At 38.1% G+C, this 24064-nt stretch overlaps 1 protein-coding gene and 1 long non-coding RNA gene across 4 annotated transcripts in view; one reads left to right on the top strand and one right to left on the bottom strand.

Annotated features, from left to right (window-relative positions):
- CSMD1 (CUB and Sushi multiple domains 1) overlaps window positions 1–24064 on the top strand; it is a 2059554-nt gene that overhangs the window by 1562281 nt on the left and 473209 nt on the right. For all 3 annotated transcript variants that reach the window (XM_011534752.3, NM_033225.6, XM_017013731.2), the window contains exon 13: window positions 23029–23211. In XM_011534752.3, coding sequence (XP_011533054.1) covers window positions 23029–23211 — 183 coding nt within the window. The remainder of the gene's footprint in view (window positions 1–23028; window positions 23212–24064) is intronic.
- Window positions 5927–23190, bottom strand: LOC105377791 (uncharacterized). Its single transcript, XR_001745634.2, has 4 exons — window positions 23117–23190; window positions 7657–7749; window positions 6727–6862; window positions 5927–6198 (listed from the first exon to the last, which is right to left on the bottom strand). It is a non-coding gene; the product is annotated as an uncharacterized LOC105377791 (long non-coding RNA).

The following is a 24064-nucleotide window of genomic DNA, read 5'->3' as shown; positions in this document are numbered from 1 at the left end:
TGAGGCAGGAGAATCTCTTGATCCCGGGAGGCAGAAGTTGAGGTTGCAGTGAGCCAAGATCGCACCACTGCACTCCAGCCTGGTGACAAAGTGAGACTCCATCTCAAAAAAAAAAAAAAAAAAAAGCCCATATTGAAAACAATTTTTAACTTTCAGTAATGGGAAGGAGTAACAACTTTTCTAAAAATTATCATTTCTATTTTTGCACCAAAGACTTGGCAACCATTACCTGCAAAAGCTAAGCAGGAACTGTCGTGGTATAAATACATTTCATCACTTGACAATGCTAAGGAGTAAACACTTTAAATGATTTTTTTTCTTTTAACCGTCTATCTTTCATTTGCATAGTTTCTCAATCCCAAATATTTTATTTAAAAATCTATTTATTTAAAAGGTGTTTTATTTTTCCATAGTCATATTCAGTTCTCTACCCATGCCTCTTCCTGATTATAATGCCCAGATTAAGAAGTTCAGGTATTACCAAGCAATCTACTGAGTCATCTTTCTGGTAAGTTGTTGGTTGATAACTACCAACTGGGTTCTGGGACTTTTCCTCAGACCCTATTATTATGTTATAATTTTCAGAGTAGGAACTTCAAAAATTTAGCAGAACATGGAATTCACACAGTGATCTCTTACATGATCACATTCGAGTCTGTGATACTATCAAGCATCTACTAACATTTGAAAGAAGTGTGACACAGTAAAGTCATGTCAAGGCAGGAAGTAAGAGGTGCTGCAGAAGAGCAGCCGATATCTTATCTCACTGTGGGCGTGGTGGCAGGCTGGTAGGAAATGACAATTGTATGGAATAAAATATTTGTTTTCTCCAATGTTATGAATAAATAGGAGCAAATTTTCAAAGTCATTGAACAAGTTATCGTTGTAGATAGAGCAAAAGTAAAGTGAGAGATGTGATGTGTTTCCTCTTAATTTTAGCAAGACTATGGGTCATATGTTACCGGAAACATGAAGGGAGAACATTAATAAACAAGTTTTGTCAGTTGTTTATTGGTGGAAATGAGGTAAATCAAGTAGAGATAGAAGAAAATTCAAGTAAAGTATAATTTAACTCTCATACAAGGGATGGAAGAGAGGCATGCACTACTGGAAAAAAGGCATGGGGATGGGATGGGTCAGGGAGGCGGCAAGATGAATACCAGTTAAATAGCCTTTTAAAACTGAAAGTGACATGCTGACTTCCGGGAAAAGACAAACTGGGAATACAAAAGCGGCACACTAAAGCAACTGCCTAGTGGGAAAATGAGATGGGAAAATTTTCACTCTCCAAGTTACTGCCTTTCTGTAGAGCAGAGGAGAGTATGCAGGGTTAGACAAGATTAGTGATGGCCCAGGTGTGACATCTGCACATGGGAGGGAAGGTGAGGGATGGGGAGTTTCAGCTGTTGCATGGACCTGTGTCTTAGTGGAACTGGGAAATCCTAATCTCCATCATCCCTCTTCCATAGAGAGTCCATAGAGTTGCTAGCTCTGTTGGTGTTTTAACCATATTCATTTTCTCATGGGCTCCTTACTGTCTAGAACAGAAAGTCTGGAAGCCTGGAAACTGCATTTCCCAGAATCCATTACTAGCAGGGTTCCTGATCTTGCTAAGGAACTAAAACCAAGAAGAGAGATTTAAGGGCTCAGACAATGCAGTGAGAAAAGACCGAACTGAACCCTCCAGTTTACTAGTCATGCAACTATTCAATGCTTAGAATATTATCCAATTTTCTTCAATTATTTTATCTGTAAAATAAGGTAAACAATAGAACCTATCTTATATATTTACAAAGAGCTTCTTTGAATTTTTTTGTTGTTGTTGTTGAAATGGAGTCTCGTTCTGTTACCCAGGCTGCAGTTCAGGGCCATGATCGCTGCTCACTGCAACCTCCACCTCCAGGGTTCAGGTGATCCTCTTGCCTCAGCCTCCTGAGTAGCTGGGATTACAGGCACCTGCCATCACACCTGGCTACTTTTTGTATTTTTAGTGGAGATGTGGTTTCACCATTTTGGACAGGCTGGTCTCAAACTCCTGACCTCAAATGATCCACCCGCTTCAGCTTCCCAAGGTGCTGAGATTACAGTTGTAAGCCACTGTGCCTAGCAGAAAAATGCTTTAACATGTTGTAATGATGAAATAAAGGGACTTCATAACCATCATCTACTTGATAAACATTAATTAAATACCTACTACATATGTCAGACAATTTGTTCAGCATTAAAAAAATAAACAGAAGACAGATACAGCTTCCACTCTCATGGTGTTTATAATCTAGTTTAAAATCTATACAACACATACAAAATGATTTCTACATTTCTCAGCACATAGTAAGCAGTTATTAAATGTCACCTGTAAGTATTCATATTGATAATAATGATGTAATAACATCTCCCTTATAGCAGATAGTCCTACATATCAGTGGAAGATGTATCAAAGAGGGAAGATGAGATATTAGAATTCCCAGTATAGTTGTGTGTATATTCATATGTTTGTATGTATATGTATGTGTGTATATATGTATATGTGCATGTGTGTATATATGTATATATGCATGTGTGTATATATACATACTTGGCAATTATATTTTTGTTCTGATTTATCCTCTTTTATAATTAAATTTGTACATGTATACCCATACACACATACATACATACATACATACAGATATCGATTAATACATATCGAGATTGACAAATATAAGAAATAGACAGTGTGGCCAGTGCCCCTGGTGTGATCTGGTGCACAGTTTATGTGACCAAACTCAGTAGTGCTGGCTGTTGCTGTGGATGTATTTTTGTGGGGGAGGTGGGACTATCTGTAATTTATTATAGGTAAGGTATAAATTACAAACCATAGAAAACAACAACCATAGACTTTATTTCATAGAAAATTTTACGCTGAAAAACCTAACAATTTAACCATTTCATTAAGTTATACTTTATGCACAAGAAATGCAGATATTCAAAAGTGTGCAATTCGATGAGTTTTGATAAACATCAACCCTTGTTTTCACCACCCCTCGTCAAGATATTGAACATTGTTGACCCCTCCCAGAGTGCGAATACCTCATAGTGAAAGATATTGAACGTTCCTGACAGCCCCCAAAGTGTCTTCATGCCTTTTTCCCTGCAGGGGCGTTTAAGAATGAAGGTCAGTGAACATCTGTGTACAAGTGTTGCTTTGGACATGGCTTCCATTTCCCTTGGGTCACTACCTCTGTGTGGAAGGGCCATGTCATATATTAACTACATGTTTAACTTTTTAAAAAGTTACCAAATTGTTTCCCAAAATAATTTTTGCATTTTATATTTCCTTCAGCATTTTATTATCATTTCTGTTTATTTATGCTTCAGTACATATTTACATTGTGAAATGGTCAAATCAAGGTTCGTAGCATTTGCATCATCTCCAACGTTCAGCGTTTCTTTACGGTAAAAACATTGAAAATCCTCTCTTCTAGCTATTTTGAAATATACCATGCAATATTGTTAAGTGTAATCACCCTTCTGTACAATAGCACACAAGAACTTCTTACTTCTACCTGAGACCCTGCACCTGTTAACTCATCTCTCCCCATTCCTGTCCTCCTGCCTCCCCCAGTCTCTGGTAACCACCATTCCATCCTCTGCTCCAATGAGATCAGTTTTCTGAGGTTCTCCGTAAAAGTGAGATGATGATGTGCTTGTCTTTCTGTCACTGGCTCACTTTACTTAACAAAGTGTCCTTCAGGCTCATCCGTGTTGCTGCAAATGACAGGATTTCTTTCTTTTTTATGACCAAATAGTATTCCACATTTTTACCATTATTCATCCATTGATTGACACCTCGGTTCTTTCCGTATCTTGGCTATTGTGAATGATTCTGCAGTGAACAGGGGAGTGCAGCTATCTCTTCCATGTACTGATTTCATTTCTGTTGGGTATATGCCCACTAGTAGGATGACTGGATCATATGATAGTTCTTTTTTACTTTTATAAGAAAGCTGCATACTGTTTTCCATGGTGGCTGTACTAAGTTCCACCCTCACTAACGGTGAACTCTTACACACAGTTTTTCTAAATGTTTGCTGACATTTGGTATGGTCAGTCTTTTAAGGGTTGCTATGAAAGTCTTTTTTTTCCCCATCATTTTTATTTGAATACCTTCTTTGGTAAAATATGCTCAGTATAAACAGTTTGGGGTGATTTAATATTCTTGACAGTTTCGTTTCTCGTGCCATTTCTTTAAAGCCCAGCTTCTGTCAAGATTTGTACTGTAATTTGAATATTGGCATAAGCTGCAAGAGTTATGCTTCTCTTGAGGCCTGGCCATTCGTCTCTGAATAAGGAAGCAGTTCTGGCTGCAGAGCCGTTTGTTTGTTTTCTAAAGTGACTTTTAAGGTCCCCCCTTCCTCGAGTGTTTAACAGTCAAGGAAATTCATTCTACGTAGCTCACATATCACTTTTAGGTCCCCAACCATATAGTTGAAATTAGAACTTCTAAAACCTATATAATAATTTAACATCTATTTAATTTCAAATTTCAGGTGCTGTAAGAATAATAGCTATTTTGTAATTACCTTCAGATATAAGTAATGGTAGACGCAACGAAGCAGATAATGCAATTTGACAAAGTTACTATGTTCTTCATGGAATTAAGGCTTAATTCCATTTTCTAAAATTCAAAATTCCTTTACCTTATTAATTCCTGATTCTGCAAGGGCGCTTGTCAGCCCTGTGAATTATCAGTTGAGCTCATAAACTGATGCTAACATTACACATTGACAGTAATCGATTTGACAGGCATACGCCTCCTCTGCTGGAAGCAATTGGTCCTCTAGAGAGGGTTTTTAAAGTAGTCTCTTGTTTCCTCTCTGAATTTCATTAAGATAGGTTATTATTAGCCTGATTAAATTAAATAGTTACTTTTACATTTCCATGGAATTTGAAAAAAAGTTGATAAAAGGGATAAAGTGAGTTAACAGAAGTTTAATAAATATCATTATTTTTGTGGGATCACTCTATGAACACTAGATTTGCAGAGTATGGTCAAATAGATTGTTTCATATCTCATAGATTTGAAATATGATTATTTCCATACACCTATATTGATGAAGAAGGTTCTTTTTACTTCATCCTTATTAAATATTTTCATCATTTGACTGTGAAAATCTTCATTTTAAAGGTTTCAAAAATATATATATAGGAATTGTGGAATCATTACATATTGTTAAATTTTTATGATTAGTTATTATTAAATAGGAGACAGGGACCATCTTTTTATGAGAAGTTTTGACTTGAAGAAAAATCAGTACTGATTCATTTCCAGGACTTCAGTTTGCACTTCTGATTTTATTTGTGTCATTTTGTGGTTTGCGATGAAGTAGGCTGGCCTTGAAAATCTCAAAGCAAAATAAAATCTGACCAGTTCTTGTTATGCTTATTCAGTGATATAGTTTGGCTGAGTCTGCACCCAAAATCTCATCTTGATTTTTAGTCCCTATGATCCCCATAATCTTCTTGTGTCAAAGGAGAGGCCAAGTAGAGTGATCGAATCATGGGGATGGTTTCCACTATGCTGCTGTCGTGATAGTGAGTGAGTTCTCATGAGATGTGTTGGTTTTATAAGTGTTTGGTAATTCCCCCTGCATTCCTCTCCTTCATGCCGCCTTGTGAAGAAGGCACTTTGCTTCCCCTTTACCTTCCACCACGATTGTAAGTTTCCTGAGGCCTCCCCAGCTGAACTGTGAGTCAATTAAACCTCTTTCCTTTATAAACTACCCAGTCTTGAGCAGTTCCTTATAGTAGTACAAATATGGACTAATACATCCAGTGATTTGGAACATGAGGAAACTAACTGGGCACAACCCATTAAATATAACTTAGCACCAATTAGTTTATGTCAGGCCTACATTTTAGTAAACTATAAAGTTTAGCACAATAATTTGACTTAGTGGTTTGTAATGTAAGAAAAATAAAGTAAGTTGACAAGTTTTTAAAAAGTTAATTATGGCATCTCACCTTGAAAGTGGCAGTGTCAAGAAATAAAAACATAAATAAAAAATTATATTGCCTTGTATCTTCATCTGTCCTGGTGTTTAATAAGGAGAAGTCACTTAAGATGACATTGAAGGAGGAGAGGAGGCAATTGAGGGAAAGAGCAGGTGGACAGTCTCCAGCTTCCTTTTCCATTAATTGATTTGAAAAGTGATGTTCCTATTTTTTAATAAAAAAGCAAAGTTAGAGAAGTCGAGCTAAATTAGATCCAAAAGGGGAGTTCCAAGTATCTATGAGTCTCATGATCACTGTCTGATACGTAACCTACGGAACAAAATAACCTCTGGTACTTAAAAAAATTGATGATCAAGAAATAATTTAACTCATGTGATGTGCAGGATGGAACGTTTAGGAGTAGTGTGTATATTACTGAGAATGAAATCCTGATTCTAATACAGCTCCTCACATGCTCTGCTTTTGTATCTACTGTTATTGAAAGGAAAGTATTAGGGATAGGACAATACAAATTTGGAAAACGTTACCAAGTATAATTCATGCAATAGTCTGTTCTGCTTTTTTACATTTTCACAGATTATCAAGAATATTTTCAGATTGGCACAGATTTTTTTTAAATAATTCTTTCTGATTCTACATAGACCCAGCTTTTTTGTTCACAGAGACACATTTTACTTGAGATAAAACCCCTTTTATTCTAGTGGGAAATACAATGCAGATTCCATTACTCACCTTTTAGAGATGGTAGACACTAAAATCTTTTGTGGTCATCTTTGATCAGTTTTATTCTAACAGGTCATAGTTCTTCACCTCAATGTCAATATACGTGAATCAAGGTGCTGAAATTTACCTTGGTTAAATTTGCTGTCTATTGAATAAAAAGAGAGAAAAAGGGTATCCGAACCTAGCCAGATTTTCTTTGATGTTTTTCTTCAGGGCAGAATGCACTAACAACAACAGAAGAGTAATGAAAACTCTCTGGGCTCCCTGCTGCTGGGACAGGGCATTTCCTTTTTTTTCCTTTTTTCTTTCTTCTTTTTTTTTTTTTTTTTGAGACCGAATCTTGCTCTCTCTCCCAGGCCAGAGTGCAGTGGCGCAATCTCAGATCACTGCAACCTCCACCTCCTGGGTTCAAGCGGTTCTCCTGCCTCAGCCTCCCAAGTAGCTGAGATTACAGGCAGGTGCCACCACGCCCAGCTAATTTTTGTATTTTTAGTAGAGACAGGGTTTCACCATGTTGGCCACGATGGTCTGGATCTCTTGACCTCGTGATCCACGCACCTCAGCCTCCCAAAGTGCTGGGATTACAGGCGTGAGCCACCTTGCCCAGCTGGGACAGGGCATTTTCAACATACAGGAGTTTCCCTTGTCCCAAGGAGATAAGCTCTAAGTCCCCCAGTGGATGCCTGAAACCAAGCCATATGTATTATGCTTTCTCTATGCGTACATACTCCTGATAAAGTTTAATTGACAGGCTAGACACAGTAAGAGATTCACAACAATGACTAATGATAAAATAGGACAAGCATGGTGGCGCTTTGGGATGCTGGGACAGGAGGATTGCTTGAGCCCAGGGACTTGGAACCAGGCTGGTCAACATAGTGAGACCCCTGTCTCTACAAAAGTAAAATAAAATCATTATCTGGGTGTGGTGGCATGTACCTGTTGTCCCAGCCACTCCAGGGGCTGAGGTCGAAAGATCACTTGAGCCCAGGAGCCTGAGATCATAGTGAGTCAGCCATGATGGCTCCCAGCCTGGAAAACAGAGTAAGACCCTGTCTCAAATAAAATAATATTTAAAAAAATAGAATGATGATAACAATATGCCAATTTCATTACTCTTGGGCAATTGTTAAGTCAAATAAGGGTTCCTTGAACACAAACACTGTGGTTCCTTGACAGTTGACCTGATAATCAAGAAGGACAATTCCTTCCTGATAGAAATGGCAAAGGAAGTAAGATCATTGTGTAATCACAGAAACACACATTTTTTTCTTTATTTGAATGAATAAGAAAGATTTTGTGTTCAAATTGTGATACTAGGGTTACATTTTTGAAGTCATATTGTTTTACTAAGTGTAATTACAAAAACTACAAGAACAATAGCCAAGTAATTTTTTAACTTTTTTTCTCTATATGACCTAAGGGACAATCATTAAGTTACACATATTCGCATACAAACAGTGAATAAATACACAGACTAGACGTGCTACCTTGTGGTATGTTTTGCTTGGTACACTCTCAATGAATGCAGTAACTGGGCAATGTGCGAACTATTCAATAGCTTCCCAAGTTTGCTAATCAGAGATTATTAAGTCAGATTGTACTCAAAATTAATAGACTAAACTAGGCAATACCTGGCTTTTGCAAAGAAATATGATAAACTCTAATTGAATCATGGTGTATTTCATTATGCTCTTAGATACAAATGAGCTTCCTGTACTAAACAAATATCATAAACTCTAATTGAATCATGATATATTTCATTATGCTCTTAGATACAAATGAGCTTCCTATACTGATAAATTTGTGTTCATACTTATAATTGAATAATGGGTGCATTGAACATAAAACAAATAATTTTTAAAAGGAGGTAAATTTTTTTAAAATGGTACGGAAGAGCTTGGAGAGACCACTTTTTCACCAACAAAGAAAACTGGTACTGTGAATCTTTTCTGATTTTGTAAGTAGCCAAAAATAGTTAAATAATTGAGGTGTGTGTTTATTTGAGGGTCGCCATTAATTTGTCTAAACACAAGCAGCTCGTGCCGTAGGACTGGTGGAGGTGACTTCCACCATCCCAGTTGTGAGGAGAGACAAGGTCGCTGAGGGAGTACCCATTCACCAAAAAGTATGTGCCTATTCTGTGATCCAACAATTCCACCCCTAAGTGTTCACCCGAGTGAAATAAAAACACATTTCCACACAAAGACCTGGGATGGAACATTCGTAAGACTTTCTTCATAATAGCCCCAAACTGGAAACAACCCAAATGCCCATCAGCTGGTGACAAGATAGACAAATGGTGCCAAAGCCACAGAGTGGAGGACCATTGAGTCAGCTGGTGATAAGATAGACAAATGGTGCCAAAGCCACACAGTGGAGGACCATTGAGCAACAAAAAGTTCATAACTACTGATACAGGGAACCAAATGGATGAATCTCAGAATCATTACACTCAGTGAAAGAAACCAGAGACAAAAATGTGTGTACCCTATGATTCCATTTATATGAAATTCTGGAAGAGAGAAAGCTATGGTGACAGAAATCAGATCACTGGTTGCCAGGAGCAAGGGAAAGGGAGAAAAAATGGACTGAAAATGGATATGGAGGAAATTGTGGAGGAATGAGAAGCCTCCATACCATGATTTTGGTGTTGGATACATGACTATAACCTTTAGTCAAATTCGTCAAATTAAATTAAGACTCCTTAAATTGTTCATTTAGACGTGGTAAAATTTGTGGTACCTAATTCATTCCTTAATTAAACTGATTATTTAAAAATATCATTGAACTATGATGAGTAATAATAAGTGACCCCAAAATAATTTAATCTGTTTAATTATTTTTTAAATACATAGGACTGTACAACTCGACTAGCTGGTGCTGGTGTTTGAAGGTGTCTCCTGTAAAATTCAGGTGTTGCCAATTTGGTAGCAGTAAGAGCTGTGACCCTTAATAAAGAGCTTAACAAAGAGAATCTACCCCTTTTGCCCTTTTCCTTCTGCCATGTGAGGACAGTGTTCCTCCCTCTGGAGGACACAGAATTCATGGCACTGTTTTCGAAGCAGAGAGCAGTTGTCATCAGACACCAACCTTCCCAGTGCCTTTATCTTGATCTTCCTAGCCTCTTGAACCATGAGAAATACATTTCTGCTCTTCATACATTACCCAGTCTATGTTTTTCTGTTATCGCAGCACAAGGGGACTAAGACGATGAAAAATACATAAAATCACTGGCATCAGAAAAATGCATCGAAAATAGATTTGAAATATTTAATTTATTTCCCACTTGATTCCCAAAAGACAGATCATGGTCTAGCCCTATTGTAACATGCTCTTTTTCAAAATTTACTGTTTTGTCTTCTGTCTTCTGTTTGTGTCTTACAATAGATTTCTTCAGTAGTATACCTTTTAAAATGCTTTCAGACAGACTCAATTATAAGAATTACTGAAATGCACATGATATTTTTGAAAGATTCTTTCAATAGGCATTTTGGGAAAAGTGAGTGGAAGAACAATGTGGAAAGTGGCCCCAAATCCAAGATTCTTGGTTCCTCTTTCAGGTTTAACTTCTGGCTCATTTTTTCCAACTCCCTCAACAAACCCCAAATTATTGGCTGAGCATTGATCAGGTACCCAGAATTGTATGCCATCAAGAATGCTGAGTGGCTAAGTGTGAGTCCAGCCCTTGAGGAAACAGCAGCCCCTTCATGGTGAGAGGCAACAAGACTGAAAATAAGTGAAACTAAGTTTCAAAGGAATGAAACACTGGTGCAGAGTAGAGTGACCTTGGAGATTTCATTGATCATCTAGTCATGGGAAGGGTAGATAGGTGTAGATGATAGAATCCACGCTAGGACATCAGGGCTGGACATGGTGGCTCACGCTCTAAGACATCTGTGGGGCCGGGCGCGGTGGCTCACGCTCTAAGCCATCTGTGGGGCCGGTTGTGGTGGCTAATACTCTAAGCCATCTGTGGGGCCGGGCGCCGTGGCTCACGCCTGTAATCCCAGCACTTTGGGCGGCCAAGGTGGGTGGATCGCCTGAAGTTAGAAGTTAGAAACCAGATTGACCAATATGGTGAAACCCTGTCTGTACGAAAAATACAAGAATTACCTGGGCATGGTGTCATGCACCTGCAGTCCCAGCTACTCTGGAGGCTGAGACAGGACAATTGCTTGAACCTGGGAGGTGGAGGTTGTAGCGAGCCAAGATTACAGCAGTGCACTGCAGTCTGGGCAACAGAGCAAGACACTGTCTCAAAAAAAAGAAAAAGACATCTGTAGAATTTATAATTTAGAAATCTGGGGATTTTTTTTATCTTGGGGTTTAACACATAATCAAACAGGCTAAATATTATCTTGAATTGGCTGATGTTACTAAAGTCTACAAAATTGTTATTTTCATAGTGAGAACTCCTCTATTCTTTGTTTTGTGTAAATAAAATGAAGTCTTTGATAAGGTAGAGAATGATGTTTCTCTTTTCTTAATCACAACCTGGGATTGTATATAGTAACTCTCATTTGCATTTGGTCATTCCTTTATCTCTGCCCATTCAATGTGTGGCTCCCTCAGGAATGTGGGCTCAGAGCAGTCCTTCTCGTCCTATATCCAACTGTTTCCTTGTGGAGGACCTACTCAGGGCCAATCCCTGGATCCAGTCTCTGAAGACCACCACCTTTTATACTTTAATGACTCTGCATTTTCCTCCAGACTTGGTTTCAACTGTCTTGTAGTATGAGTTTAAGAAAAGAAATTGCCCATCAATTTAATAGAATGTTAAAGATGTAATTTTCATTTTTTCATACTGAAAATGAGCATAGAATCAGCAAATGAAGCTTCGTCTTCAGTTATTGTAATAAAATGACCACCACCACAGTAAAACTTTACACAGCTTTTAGTGTCTTTTTTTTAATAATCTACAGCACAGAGGAAAACTATAAATAGGCAGTATTAGTCTCTTTAATATATAATAAATTCTGATTATTAGATAACTGGACCAAGAGAAACAGGAAAGAGTGATTTTTCTCAATCATGGGAAGCATTTTACTTATTATTTTTAATATATTGGAGCGTGAACAAGTACCATCTTTATGTGTTTAAGGAATGTTTTCAATCCATGCGCAGAATGGTGAAAGTAATAGAATGTTCAAAGTCTTAGTATTCCATAACCTATGCCTAAAAGGAATCATTGCAAGCGTGACAAAGGTATTAAGACCCAAAAGTTTAGAATTTGACTAATTTTTAACCAGAACAGTAGTACACATTTAAAAACAACACTGATTTCTTTTTTCAAATTAACATTTTTGATTTTAAAGTAGTTTTAGGTTTAAAGAAAAGTTGCAAAGATAGTACAGAGCATTTCTGTCCACCCCACAGCCAGTTTCCCTATATTTAATACTTTATATCGTTAGGTACATGCATCACAACATGGAAACGTTATTAACTGAAGGTCGTATTTTATTCAGATTTCCATGGCTTTTTTTTTTTTTTCCTAGTGTCCTCTTCCTGTCCCAGGAACCACCCAGATCCACCCTGAGTTAATTGTCTTGCCTCATCTGGTCCCTCTGAATTGTTACTGCCTTTCCTTGGTTTGATGATCTTGGGTATTTTGAGGAGTCCTGGTTGGTATTGTGTAGACTATTCCTCAGGTTGTATTTATCTGATGCTTTTCTTGTGGTTAGACTGGGGTTATACGTTTTCCAGGAATATCATAAAGTAGTTGTATCTTTTAAGGACTTTTATCAAATAATTTTGAGGACTTAGCTTGGCTTTTCTTAAGTTGAATGACTTCCCAACTATTGAAATTAAAAGTAATATCAATGATGATGTTAATAATAATAGCAAAGAGATAGAACTTAATATACCCTGGGCTCTATTTAGGCACTGTGCATTGGCTTCTCATGCATTGGATCTTTAAGGAGATGCGAACGATTATTATCCACAATTAGGTAAACAGGTACTTCTAGCAACTCACAGGAAGTCACACAGATAATTGATGTTGCTGAGATTCCATCTAAAACAGGATCTATTCCAAGAGTCTATATTTCTACTCACTTTGCTATCCTGCTTCCAGACTGTGGTCTAGAAGTAGCAGGAAAATAAAGCAATTAATTTATGCAAAACTGTATTGATGAAGATTATTTCTTTTAATGAATCTAGATATGCAGATTTTTTTCTTGACATGTTGGCTATTTGGTATTTGATTAGAACGTTGTAGGTGACGAAAGTAATCTGAATTATTTCTCCACTTTTTTTTTCCTATTTATTTGCTTCTCAATCCTGTTGATAAAAGGGGTTACGAATCTATAGCAATTGGCCAGACGTGGGATTTTCCAGGTTTCAGAATTTCCTAGTTAGCTGAGGGTTACTTGAATATCCTCCTCCTGACAGGCAAACACAAATACATAGAGTTTTTATTAAAAATCAGTGTATATGCTTATTTAAAAATACAAATATGTGTGTATTTTTATTACTTGAAAAACAGAAATTCTAGAATAGTAAATTTTTATTCCTATTTTGTTCATCTGGCTTCATCTGGTGATCAGCACCTTCATCCTTCATTTTCAATTATTCATTTTGGAAACGGCAGTGGAGTTAGTTTTATTTTTGAAGTTTACAGTGAACCTGAACTCAAGAATCAACCAGGAGCATCTGGTTGGTGCAGATTGTAAGCCTGATAGTATCCTTCTGTGAGGATGACCACTTAGGTGCTCAGAAATGTGTTACTTGATAAGGCAAAAAGTTCAGTTCCTGCTGAGTTAAGAATTAGAGAACAGCGCAGCTTGCGTCATTGAGAAGCCTCGACCTCCATGAGGTTCCTAGCTGGCGTTTCAGCCTTAAACAATGGCAACAGACACAGCAGAGCATTAACTATTTGTATGCCTCGAGTATAATGTAAGTGAAAGGAACACTATAGCAAGATGATTTTTCAGGACTAAATTTCTACTAATTAATTCTGGAAAGTAAAATTGCATTATGCATACCTTTCATGTATTCTGAGGTGCTTCTCATTACTACCTTGGCTGTTGTATTCGTTTTCTATGTCTTTAAAAGAAATCTATAATATTAAAAAGGAAAAATTCTATCCTTTAAAATGACTCATTCTTCCTTCTCATTTCCTACTATGGTCTGACATTAGTTTGTGCAATCCCGTGTGTCTGCATGATCACCAATTTGGAAATTCAATGGAGATGTCCTGTGATGTTAATGTAGATTTCTCTTGCTCTGGTGCAGGGCAGTGGGATCACTGGAAAACCTGCTTCTCATTACGTTGCAGGTTATGGCAGACAGACCTGTTGAGCTGAGACACAGGACATTGTTGGATCTGAATCTTCAGCTCAAAATCAATGCTTTTATATACCCAAATCGGGTTACTAGATCAGCGGGACCGTCAGGGAATTTGGCCAAGTAAATATGACTCCATGATTATAGCTGACCAATATCTTGAATAAAATTGTTGCTTTCCCAGTAAGTGCTCTCTGACATCCAGTCTCTTAGTTTTCTGGGCAGGATCACCAACAAAGTTCTGAATTCCAACAGCACTAATAAATAATTTGGACAGTGCTATAAACAAGTTTGAAAATCTATACTCTCATGGTCTCCATGAGACAAGCGAGATGAGCTGCTGAGACAGTTCATTTCTGTGGTTACTTATAGCCCGAATTTCCAGAGTCCAGCATTTCACACTGGGGCCACAAAAGGGAAGGAAAAACACAGCAGGTGTAGTTCCCGCTCCATCTTAGCTTTTGACTACACCTTTGGAATCATCTCATTCTTGTTTCAGTCAAACAAAGCACATTTGTATGAAAAGCAAACATGGTATTTCATGTACACAACCGAATTTTCCCTGAGCACCATAATTAAGCACGATCACACATCATTTTAACAAGCACAGGCCACTGTAACAGCAATCCGCTACTTTCTGGGCTTATGTCACTGATGGTGACGGACAAGGAGAGAGTCATGGGAGGCTCCATGTCTGTCCAAGTGCTGGGTTGTGCTGTGTCATATGGTTTTCAGTAATGCCGGGAGCATGTGCCACGTCCATACCGCGTGGACATGTTCTCACACTGTCTCCAAAAAACAGGGTCTGTAGACTTCCATTTATGTGCTGCAATCTTGTTTTCCGAAGGTGATGAAAATATATCAATTAGTTTAGGGATTTCTGAGTGAAAGTCTCAGGGAAAAAAAATGAGAATCTAAGAGCAGGCACAGTGTGGTCAGTTGCACAAGAAACTGTTGCTTTTACTCACTCTCTCTTCAGCGAAAATGGAAGCATGTACTGATTTCTGGGCCATTTTAATCTGTTCATTAACACTTCCCGCATGTAGTAGCTATGGCAGCCCTGGAACACACCTTATCTATTCTAGTTTGTGATTAAAGTTTTTAAGCCTTAAGTTCAGAATACAGATGGTAGTCAAATAGCACATGAGAAAAAAGGCAGACATACAAGCTAGACAACATTGCTTTCATACGAATAAGCATATAAGAAGTTGTGTAAATATCTTACACAGGCAATAAGAGTTTTGGTCTGCTATTTTGGGAGATAAAAAGTTAGCTGTCTGAAATCTAAATGTTTTCCACTATTTTTAAGAAATATTTCCTGAACAGCTACAGCAGAGTGTTTTCTGCAGAATATTAATTGCAATCCAGTAGCAAACCGTATGGAATTTAAAGGTCCCTCTTATTTATGGAACATCATCATAGTACATCTATTTTGTGATAACTTGAAGAATCTCAACTCTTCATGGTAACAAAGACTGCAGCAACCTGCTATATTTCATATGTCAAACAGAAATTGTATTACCCCATCCAGAATAAATTTGGTAATGCAAGCACAACCGTGGGAGCAGAACGTGGTGTGATTTAAACTCTTGGTAAATCATTCTCACTAAAATTCAGGGATATCAGCTTATATAATCCAATAGTCATCTATTGAGATTTAGAGAAATTGCTGTTCATATACATGACTATGGGTGAACCTAATTTTAGAATTTAGTTTTATTCATTGAGCGGTTTTATACAAAGAACTTTCATAAGTGGTTTTGGAAGGGAAGAGAAAGAACCTGATAAAGCTGTCATTCATGGAGTTCTCATCTACTTGTGGAGACAGGTCACAGAGAACAAAGAACACACAGCAGTGTAGGCTCAGTGAGTTCTGTACTAGCTGTCTTGTGTCCATGTACAGTGCTGCCTTGCCTGACATGCCATCAACATGAGAAATGGTGTTAGCAGGGGATGTGGCCACAGCAGAATCTAAAGGACCAGGCAACTCCCTGGACGTGTTTCCATGTAGCTCCTGGGACACCCATGGTTGACTACACAAAAGGAAACAAGCAAGCGTGCTAACTATGCTTCTGACGGCACAGTTATGTCTCATTCCTTTCTGCCTTCTTAGCTCTTTTTGAAATTCAAGTATACACCGAATACATTCTTATGTGGAAATTGGATGTTTAAAAATCCATCATAGTCCACATTCATTTATTTCTACCTTCAGAGTTCTTTTTCTCTATTTCTCTTGTAGTGTTTGGTCCTCTGTTATTTGTTTTGTTAAAGGGCCAGTTTTCTAAACTATATCTAAAGAACACTTTTTTTTTTTTTTTTTTTTTTTTGAGACGGAGTCTGGCTCTGTGGCTCAGGCTGGAGTGCAGTTGCGCAGTCCCGGTTCACTGCAAGCTCCAGCCTACTAGGTTCACACCATTCTCCTGCCTCAGCCTCCCGAGTAGCTGGGAATTACAGGCGCCCCCCAACACGCCCGGCTAATTTTTTGTATTTTTAGTAGAGACGGGGTTTCACCATGTTATCCAGGATGGTCTCGATCTCCTGACCTCATGATCCACCTGTCTCCGCCTCCCAAAGTGCTAGGATTACAGGTGTGAGCCGCCGCGCCCAGCCAAGAACACTTATTTTTAAAAAGAATTGACAAGTGTGAAAAGTCACTGTAGCTAGTGGCTACTCATTGTAAGTGCCAAAAATTAAATATCATATGCAACTCAAAATCTTCTTTGGCAATTTAAAAAATCTCACTTATTCTCATGAAAACTTGGGGATATGTTTCTAAACAACATAGATCCATTTTACCAATAAAGAAGTTTTGTCTTCCATTTATTACTTGTATACTTTTCCATTTTTCCAGATCTCAGTCTGAAATAAAGAATAAAAAGGGACTGAGCTTCATCAGATTCTCCAGAATATATAAAATCTTCATATAAATACAACATATAATACACACACACCTATAAATGTGACATACAAGGCCAGGCACAATGGCTCACGCCTGTAATCGCAGCCTGTTGGGAGGCTAGAGGAGGGCAGATCACTTGAGGCCAGGAGTTGGAGACCAGCGTGGCCAACATGGTGAAACTCCATCGCTGCTAAAAAATACAAAAATTACCTGGGCGTGATGATGCATGCGTATAATCCCAGATATGCAGGAGGCTGAGCCAAGAGAATCTCTTGAATCCGGGAGGTAGAGGTTACAGTGAGCTGAGATCGTGCCACTGCACTCCAGCCTGGGTGACAGAGCGAGGCTCCATTTCAAATAAATAAATGCAACATGTAAATAAGTTCAAGGGATCTCTTATACAACATGGTACTATGGTTAATAATAATGTATTATATTCTTGAAAATTGCTAAGAGTATAGGTGTTCTCAAGAAAAAAATCAGAAGTATGTAAGGTAATTAGTATATTAATTAGCTTTGCTTAGCCATTATGATACGTACACATATTTCAAAATAACATGCTGTAGATGAACAATATATACAATTTAAATTTGTCAATTAAAATACAATTTAGTATGTAAATGTGAGTGCGAATAAAAATCATTAAATTGCAAGTTTAATAAGAACAATAATTTAGAAAAGCATCTGTTGTGTGTTGACTCTGAACAGGTGCTACAGATTTAACAATCACCAAGATAGACCCTGCCAGGGCTTACAGTAAAGCACAAAAAGTACATATAATGCAGAGTGACAGGTCTTGCCGCAGAAAAGAGAGTGGTGCTAGAGACACGTAGGATACAGGCCATCCCCGAGCAAGCGCAGACTGAATTAGAATATCAACAGTGCATGGTTAAATAAGACAACAGAGGAAAGAATGGACTAAATATTTACAGCAGGTGTGAAGGCTGAAGAGGGGAGACACCCTCAGGCACTAAAAGAAATTGTAGCAAGTCTGGATTGTGAAACACCGGGAAAGAACTAACGAGATATGTCCTAGGAGAAAACAGCGATGTTCACATCACACATGGTTCCTGAGTCCTGGATAGGATCTGGACTAAGAACAAAGTTGGTCACCAGAAAAATTTCAAGCAAGGTACGGTTATCCTTAGCACTGGAGTTTGAGAAAATAGTTTGGCTGCAACACAGAAAATGGGATGCAGCATGGGGAGCGATGAGAGGACCCCAAGAGCGTCAATGATGGCAAATGATGATAGACAGTGAGGGGTGAGAACCTGAACTGAGGCACAACATGGCATGTTTGGGAATATAGCTAGAGCAACAGAGAAAATTTCTGTGTGATGTATTTTGGGGAAGAGAGGGAGGTGTGACAGTATTTGTAACTGGACTATGTAAGCTCTTCGGAATGATCCTTAAACAATATTTTCCGTAGGCCCCTTCATTATCAAATCTTATATCTAGTTCAATAATTTGGAAGAGATAGTTTGTACAGCATTTTTTTTTTTTTTTTTTTTTTTTTTTGCTTTAGGTGCATCAGTCTTTGAATTGATACCAAATCATAGTGTTTGCTTCTTTTTTTTTTTTTTTTCTTTTCTTTAACGGAGTCTCGCTCTGTCACACAGGCTGGACTGCAGTGTCGCGATCTTGGCTCACTGCAACGTCCACCTCCTGGTTTCAAGTAATTCTCCTGCTTCAGCCTCCCCAGTAGTTGGGATTCCAGGCGTGCACCACCATTCCCGGCTAATTTTTGTATTTTTAGTAGAGATAGGGTTTCATGATGTTGGCCAGGCTGGTCTCCAACTCATGATCTCAAGTGATCATCCCACCTCGGCCTTCCAAAGTGCTAGGATTACAGGCGTGAGCTACCGCATCTGGCTGTAGTGTTTGTTTCTAAGAAAATGTGTTAAAATCGTCTCTGACATAGAGAGAAGGGGGTTTGACACACATACTGTATCATTGTCAACAGTATCTTACTCATCTTCTACTCTACCTGAAGGTGATATGAACCTCAAATAAAATTGCAAAACTTGTGTGAATTTTGTCACCATAATTTGGAGGCAGTAGTGACACTCAGTGTGTAAGAAGTCAAGAATGCAAAATATTCCAAGATAGTTCCCCCAAATGAAACATCGCTGGCATAATCATGAAACATGCTTACATTTCTTCTATAACTAAAGGACAAAAGCTAGGTGAAACACACAAACCTACTGAGTTTGGACCGTGCTACTTTGACAGTTACTTGTCAACCCCTAATGCCTGATAAGGGACTTGTCCAACACAGGTTCTGTCCACGGCCAGCCGTAGCCATGCATCAGGATAAACAAACATCAGCCTCTTTGGTGGGATCAGCTAACCACAGGTCTCTCTTGATCCTCAGCATGGAAAGCAGAAAGACCCTCACCCTCATTTAATTTCTGAAACCTCTGCACAGTAGAGCTCCCTGAGTTAATTAATATTAAAAATAGTATCCCCAAAATGCCATAATTTATTTTACTCTAAGGAGAAATTGTAAACTTTAGTATCACAGAGGCAGAATGAAACATTTAAGGCTTGCTAATAATCATAGTAATAATTGTATTTCCAGTGCAATATACCAGGTAATTTCCATGAATCTTATTCTTTAATTCTCATGGCCACCCTTTGAGGTAGGAAGTAGGAAGCTCATAATGTGAAAACTGAGGCTTGATGAGACTAAATTGATCACAGTGGCCCAGCAAACACTGGGGGATTCAAAACCAAATGTGGTGTCTGGACTCCTGACTGCACAGATTTGTGCTATGCCAGGACCCTGGGCGCCCAGCCCAGCTTCCCAATGGAGAGCCCACAACAAACAAGAGCTCTTTTCTATTATAAACCATGCAGCGTTTTGAACTCACTGTCGGTTTCAGTGACAGACGCTCATTCAAGGCATCCCAAGCATTAAATTTAAGTAAATCCATTCCCATCTCTGTTCAACAACCTAAACTCCAAGAACTATCTTTAAGCAAAGGTGTTCTCTATAGATGTATTTGGCTTGTGTTGCATTAGGAACATTTTGCTTTCGTAGAGCTGACTCTGTAAGGATCATCTTTGTTTGGTAGCCTGAGGTGTGACGTTAGCAGTGTACCTTGAACCTCAACCAAATATCTGCATTTTGTGTGTGTGCTCTTCTGCTTCACAGAAGTTGGTGATATCCTATGTATTCAACATCTTCATGCTAGTGTGATAATGTATCAAACTTCACTTCTTTGATATTCCCAGACACTTAGAAGTAAAGTTTCTCCTCTTGAATGCAATATAACATCTCTGGATCAACCTCTGAACGTTTCTATATCCCTCACAGCAGACCTTCAAACCATCTGGAAATTCAGTTCTGAGTCACTTCTACAAACATTGCCAAAACTGACAGCTTGATTAGAAAGTGGTTAGGTTATGAAAAAGATACTTGCACACACATATTTATAGCAGCACAATTTGCAATTGCAAAAATGTGGAACCAACCCAAATGCCCATCAATCAATGAGTGGATAAAGAAACAGTGGTGTGTGTGTGTGTATGTATGTATATGTGTGTATATATATGTATATATGTATATATACGTGTGTATATATATGTATATATGTATATATACGTGTGTATATATGTATATATGTATATATACGTGTGTATATATATGTATATATGTATATATACGTGTGTATATATACGTGTATATATGTGTATATATACGTGTGTATATGTATATATATACGTGTATATACACGTATATATACGTGTATATATACGTGCATATATACGTGTATATATACGTGCATATATACGTGTATATATACGTGCATATATACGTGTATATATACGTGCATATATACGTGTATATATACGTGCATATATACGTGCATATATACGTGCATATATACGTGCATATATACATATACACGTATATATACGTGTATATATACGTGTATATATACAGGTATATACACACGTATATACACGTATATACACGTGTATATATACACGTGTATATATGTACGTGTATATATACGTGTATATATACGTGTGTATATATACACGTATATATACACGTATATATATATATGATGGACTACTACTGAACGATAATAAGGAATGAATTAATGGCATTCGCAGCAACCTGGATGAGATTGGAGACTATTATTCTAAGTGAAGTAACCCAGGAATGCAAAGCCAAACATCATATGTTCTCACTCATAAGTGGGAGCTAAGCTATGAGGATGCAAAGGCATAAGAATGATAAAATGGACCTTGGGGACTCGGGGAAAGGGTGTGAAGGGGATGAGGAATAGAAGACTACAAAATGAACGCAGCATATACTGCTTGGGTTCCCCCCAAAACCTATGGAAATAAAGAAAAGGAAAGGAAGTAGTTAGGTTACTAAAAAATACCCCACAAAGAATTTGCTCTTGGCCCCTGCAAGATAATAAAGTGCAAGCCCATGAAGAATTCTAAAAGTAAAACCAATGCACTTTTGGGACTGGTGTCCAGAGAAACCACCCTGAATTTCCTGGGACTCACTTTTCACCTGCCTCTGCTCTTCCAAAGTTGCAGAGAGATCTTTTAAGTCTGTAGTCAGATGACACCAGGTCTCCTCCAAAGCTCTGCAGTGCCTTCTTCCTGCATCACTCTGCACAAACAGGAAGCCCAACAGGCAGGGCCTCCCTTCTGCTCCAAACCACCTCTGCCCATTTGTCCCTCACTGCCCTGCCCGGCACACTGGGATCACATCTCCTTTTCGAAGGGCTGATTGCCATCTTCCTTCAGGGCATTTTCTTCACTGCCTCCTCCTCCATCCATCTCTCTATACCCCTCTATCTTGTGTTAAATTACCCATCATCAAATCACATTAATTTTTGGGAGTCTCAGGTGGGAGGATCACTCGAGCCCCAGAGTTGGAAGTTGCAGTGAGCTATGATCACATCACTGCACTCCGGCCTGGACAACAGAGTGAGATCCTGTCTCAAAAAAATAATAATTTTAAAAAATTTTCCTCCATAAAACATAACCCCTGTATTAGTCTGTTTTTACACTGCTGATAAAGACATACCCAAGACTGGGCAATTTATAAAAGAAAAAGGTTTAATGGACTTACAGTTCCACATGGCTGGAGAGGCCTCACAATCATGGCGAAGGCAAGGTGGAACAAGTCACGTCTTACATGATGGCAGCAGGCAAAGAGAAAGCTTGTGCAGGGCAACTCCCCCTTAGAAAACCATCAGACCTCCTGAGCCTTATTCACTATCCTGAGAACAGCACAGGAAAGACCTGCCCCCATGATCAATTACCTCCCACCAGATCCCTGCCACAACACGTGGGATTCAAAATGAGAATTAGGTGGGGACACAGCCAAATCATATCCAGCCCCATGTGTGCGAGGATTTTGTCTCATTTATTCACTAAGCCCTTACCTAGAACAGGACCTGACACACAGTGGCTCTCAAAAATAGTCTTTTAAATGAATAAATAAATAAAATATTTTAATGAAAACATTCTGTGTAGTTAACATTTGAGACAGATCAACATTTGAAATATAGGTTTGGTGTATTTGGACGCATATGTTATTACAGTGATGTTTTAATGAAAGATTGATTCTGAATATTTTGTTTTCCTCTGTAGACCAAACTGTTATTCATTCTGCTTCATAAGTGAGTGTTAACATTCATTTTAGGGAAAGAATATTCAAATAGATTCTATTTATTTAAATACTCAGTAGGGAATGAAGAATATTATTTGTATTGTTTATAGCAAAAAGCACATAGTTGAAAATTAAACTGGTATTTGCATTTTAGTAGTAGCAATTGCAGATAAAAGATCGGAGGTATCCAGAAGATGCACCGATTAATTGCAGCATTTGTGTTGTCAGCGTATCTGTGTAGCCACGTGTATCCCTTAAAAGATAGCAAATTAAATACCTTTCCCTTCATTTGAAATGACATTCTTTTTCTGGTATTTGAAATTAAATTTAAGATCAATTGAATATCCTTTAGAAACACTTTACAAAAATGATGTTTAGTTCAGCAAAAAGAAGCCACGTATTTACTTTCTAAGTTGTAGAGATAAAAATATTCCTTGTGTGTGTTTTTTTAAGGGTTCATTTGTTTTTCCATTTTCAGAAATTGAAAAGGGAGGGTGTGGGGATCCTGGAATCCCCGCCTATGGGAAGCGGACGGGCAGCAGTTTCCTCCATGGAGATACACTCACCTTTGAATGCCCGGCGGCCTTTGAGCTGGTGGGGGAGAGAGTTATCACCTGTCAGCAGAACAATCAGTGGTCTGGCAACAAGCCCAGCTGTGTATGTGAGTATTATGCCTTGACCTGGACTCCCTCCTGTCCTGCAAGGATCTTGCAAGGGGAGAAAAGGAGAAAGACACAGACCGCCCATTTAGGGAGGGCAGCTTTCAGAATGGCTCGGGGTGCCACATTTACTGGAAACGTGCAAGGACGTTCTCGAACACCAACTTGCCTGCTTTCTTCATTTAGTAAAAACTAATTTATAGTTTCATTACATCTACTCGACAAAATGTACTTGAACGTTTCCTACCAGAAAGGGTCATCACATATATCGTTGTTTCCATCAAAAGCCAGTGATGATCTGCTGTATCAGACATCAGTACAGCAACAGAGTCCTTTGTGACTTAATAATGCTGTATAACACTTAAACACAAGTTGTTCACCAGTGCGAGCATGGGTGGTGGTATTGGTTTGGAATTCAGTTGATGAGCTGCCCACTTCCTCTTAAGAATACTATTTTAACAAGTAGAAAAGGCTTCACAGTCGATTTTAAAGGAGAGGTTTTTTTTATTTGTAAATAACTATAGCAAAGGCTGAAAAGTGTGTACAAAATTATATGGAATAAGAAGCAAAAATGTATTCTAGAGATAAATCCAACAGTTTCTCCCTCCAAAAAATTATTTATATAATATATATGATTTTAAGTACACATTCTTAAAAGTAAATTTTTCAAAATACTTTATATTATCCAACTAGAACATGATCTGATGTTTCCAAGTTATTTATTTATTCATGTTTACCCTGTAACTAATAAAAATTTTAAATTACTGGAGAAAATGCACTCACAGGAAAGTATAAAATATAAATTTAAAAGTTATGAAAGAGCAGGCTGAATTGTTCCTATGATATAGGAATATA

The sequence above is a fragment of the Homo sapiens genome, chromosome 8 (genome assembly GCF_000001405.40).
Source record: "Homo sapiens chromosome 8, GRCh38.p14 Primary Assembly".
NCBI classification, from domain to species: domain Eukaryota; kingdom Metazoa; phylum Chordata; class Mammalia; order Primates; family Hominidae; genus Homo; species Homo sapiens.
Note: the sequence above shows the minus strand (reverse complement) of the source record. Positions and strands in the feature narration are given on the sequence as shown.